This window comes from Homo sapiens, chromosome 20, assembly GCF_000001405.40.
Source record: "Homo sapiens chromosome 20, GRCh38.p14 Primary Assembly".
Lineage (NCBI taxonomy): Eukaryota > Metazoa > Chordata > Mammalia > Primates > Hominidae > Homo > Homo sapiens.
Window position 1 is genome coordinate 10,704,957 of NC_000020.11, and position 2,360 is coordinate 10,707,316.

Sequence of the window (2,360 nt, forward strand, 5' to 3'; positions counted from 1 at the left end):
CCGTCCATCTCCAGAACTCTTTTTATCTTGTATGATTTTGACTACTCTAAGTATCTCCTGTAAGTGGAATCATGCAGTGTTCATCTTTTAGTGACTGGCTTATTTCCCTTAGCATAACGTCCTCAAGCTTCTTCCCGGTAGTAGCATGTTTCAGAATTTCCTGCCTTTTAAAGGCTGAATAATACTGTGTTGTGTGTCTATACCACGTTTTTGCTTATTCATTTATCCATCAGTGAACACTTGGGTTTTTTCCACATTTTAGCTATTGTGAATAATGCTTCTATAACCATGGGTGTACAAATAAGGATATATAGTCTTGTGTGTTCAGAAAGAGAAACCATGTTTTGTGAACTGCTCTCCCGTCTCTGCCATGCAAGGTACATATGTGAGCTCATGGGATGGTCAAGTGTGTGACAGTGGGGATGGATGGGGACAGTGGGGATGGATGGGAACAGTGGAGAAGTGGAGTGCTGCTTCCCCAGCTAAAAAGACAGCCATTTCTCAGCTTCAGTTGATTGGTGCCAGGTAGAAATGCCAACCAGAGGTGGCCAAACCTTCCAATTTTTAAAAAGAGGTTAGACATCTGAACTGACATAGAAAATTTCTTGACTTAAAAACATTGGTGATGAATTTATGAAACAAACGAATAGTGTCAAGAAGAATCAAAATCCCCTTGCAGGCCCAGTGTGGCCTGTGTGTTTTAGGCTGCCAACTTACTGTGTCTATGTTGGACCATGTGCTCAATGGGAAGGACAGATAATTTGATAATGAAAAACAGGCCTGGGAATGCTCCAGGCAGAAGAGTAAGGGGCAGAAATCAGCCTGGCTCTTGGTAGGACTTCATTCCAGCACCAACTAGGAGCTACAAAGAAGCTGGGAAAGACCCTTTGATCAGAGATTTTCCAGAATACCTTCAAAAAGCAGCAGCCTTCCGTGGCCAAGCAGGGGCAGGGGGTGAGGCTGAGAATGATAGGTAAGAAAAGAGTGACATGTGAAATGACTGAGGCCACGGGACATCCGTCCACCTGTGCTCAGCCATGTCATGCCTACCTGTATTGTCCCAGTGGCACTGCGAGAGGAGCCAGGGCGTCGGCTCGGCACAGAAGTGATTTCACCGTTAGTCACAGACGCCGCGGGTGTTTACCGCTCCAAGACAGAGGCTTTGTATGTCTATGTGTGGACACACATTTCCTGTAACACTGTGAGTGGCTGTCAGGTTTGGGGTTTATACAAAGCTGTGGTCATGTTCCAGTCACACCTTGGATGATTTAGAAAGACTGCAAACACTGGAACTGAAAGCCTATTATTTTCTTGGTAAACTGACGTTGACCTCGAAGGCAAGTCATCAATGCCTATTCACGTTGTACCTAAGTACAACAGATTCTGTCTGTCTCATGTTCTCAGTCCATCCTAATGGGTCCGTGACACACTGATGGGATGCCACTCTGTGCTAGGCACTGTGAGGAATGGGAAGATCATAAACCTCACCATCCCTACCCTTGAGGGCTTTATGATCCTGGGGAGGATGGAAGAAATACGTAGTCCTAGGAAAAGAAAAGCTGTATCCAGTACAGGAAGGGCATGTGGAATGAGGAAAGGATGGTGGGAACGGAAGGAGCCTGAGGCCTGGAGGGGGATTCGGAGGCCCCGACGGACCGCACTGTGGAGGAGCTTTCTGTAGAGCGCAGGATCCACTTAAGCTCCGCGTGTGTGTAGGGATTGTGTGTAGGGATACGGCAAATATCCTGCAGTTGATTGCCAGACGTACAGATCGATTGCAACTTCAGTCCCTTTTAGAAAACAAAAAAGAGACAAAGGCATTTAGGCAGGTGTTTGGGATGTTTTGTTGAATTGGGGACCTGTTTTTATCAAGGTAACGTCAGTTTTGTGGAATGTGATGGTCACAGACGTGGTGTGTTCTGGAGGCTGTGTGGATGCGGGAATCACCTGCTCCCAGCAAAGGAGTGACCGCTTGGCTTGGAAACGTACCAGTGTCCTTTCCTCTGAACATTTCTCCTCAAAAACATCAGCAAAGCCCCCAGAAATCTCTGCCAAGAAGGTCTGAGCAAAAATCCTTCTAAGGTTCTCTTCATGATTTATGTTAAAATAAAAAAATATGTTCATCCCTGATTAGAAATATTCCAACCTTTTTTTATGGTTATAGTTCCAAGCATTTGCGACTACGTTCTCCATTTGGCAGGATGATAAGTTGGGAACGGAAAAACATGCCAACTTTGGACAAAATATGATTGTGTATTTTCAGTTGCAATCCAAAGTCACAATTTGGACTATGAAGCTGGTTCTATATCTTTGCCAAGTTGGGCAAGGAATCTTGGCGGAAAGATGCTTTTTAAAGACAT

At 45.1% G+C, this 2,360-nt stretch overlaps 1 annotated feature.

The window, feature by feature from the left end:
- Positions 515-1,714: an enhancer, noted in NCBI's record as "P300/CBP strongly-dependent group 1 enhancer chr20:10686119-10687318 (GRCh37/hg19 assembly coordinates)". NCBI's record gives its function as "activates an origin of replication core promoter dependent on BRD2, BRD4, P300/CBP, MED14 and CDK7 cofactors, with strong dependence on P300/CBP, by STARR-seq in HCT116 cells {active_cell/tissue: HCT116}" and the evidence as "EXISTENCE:reporter gene assay evidence [ECO:0000049][PMID:35650434]".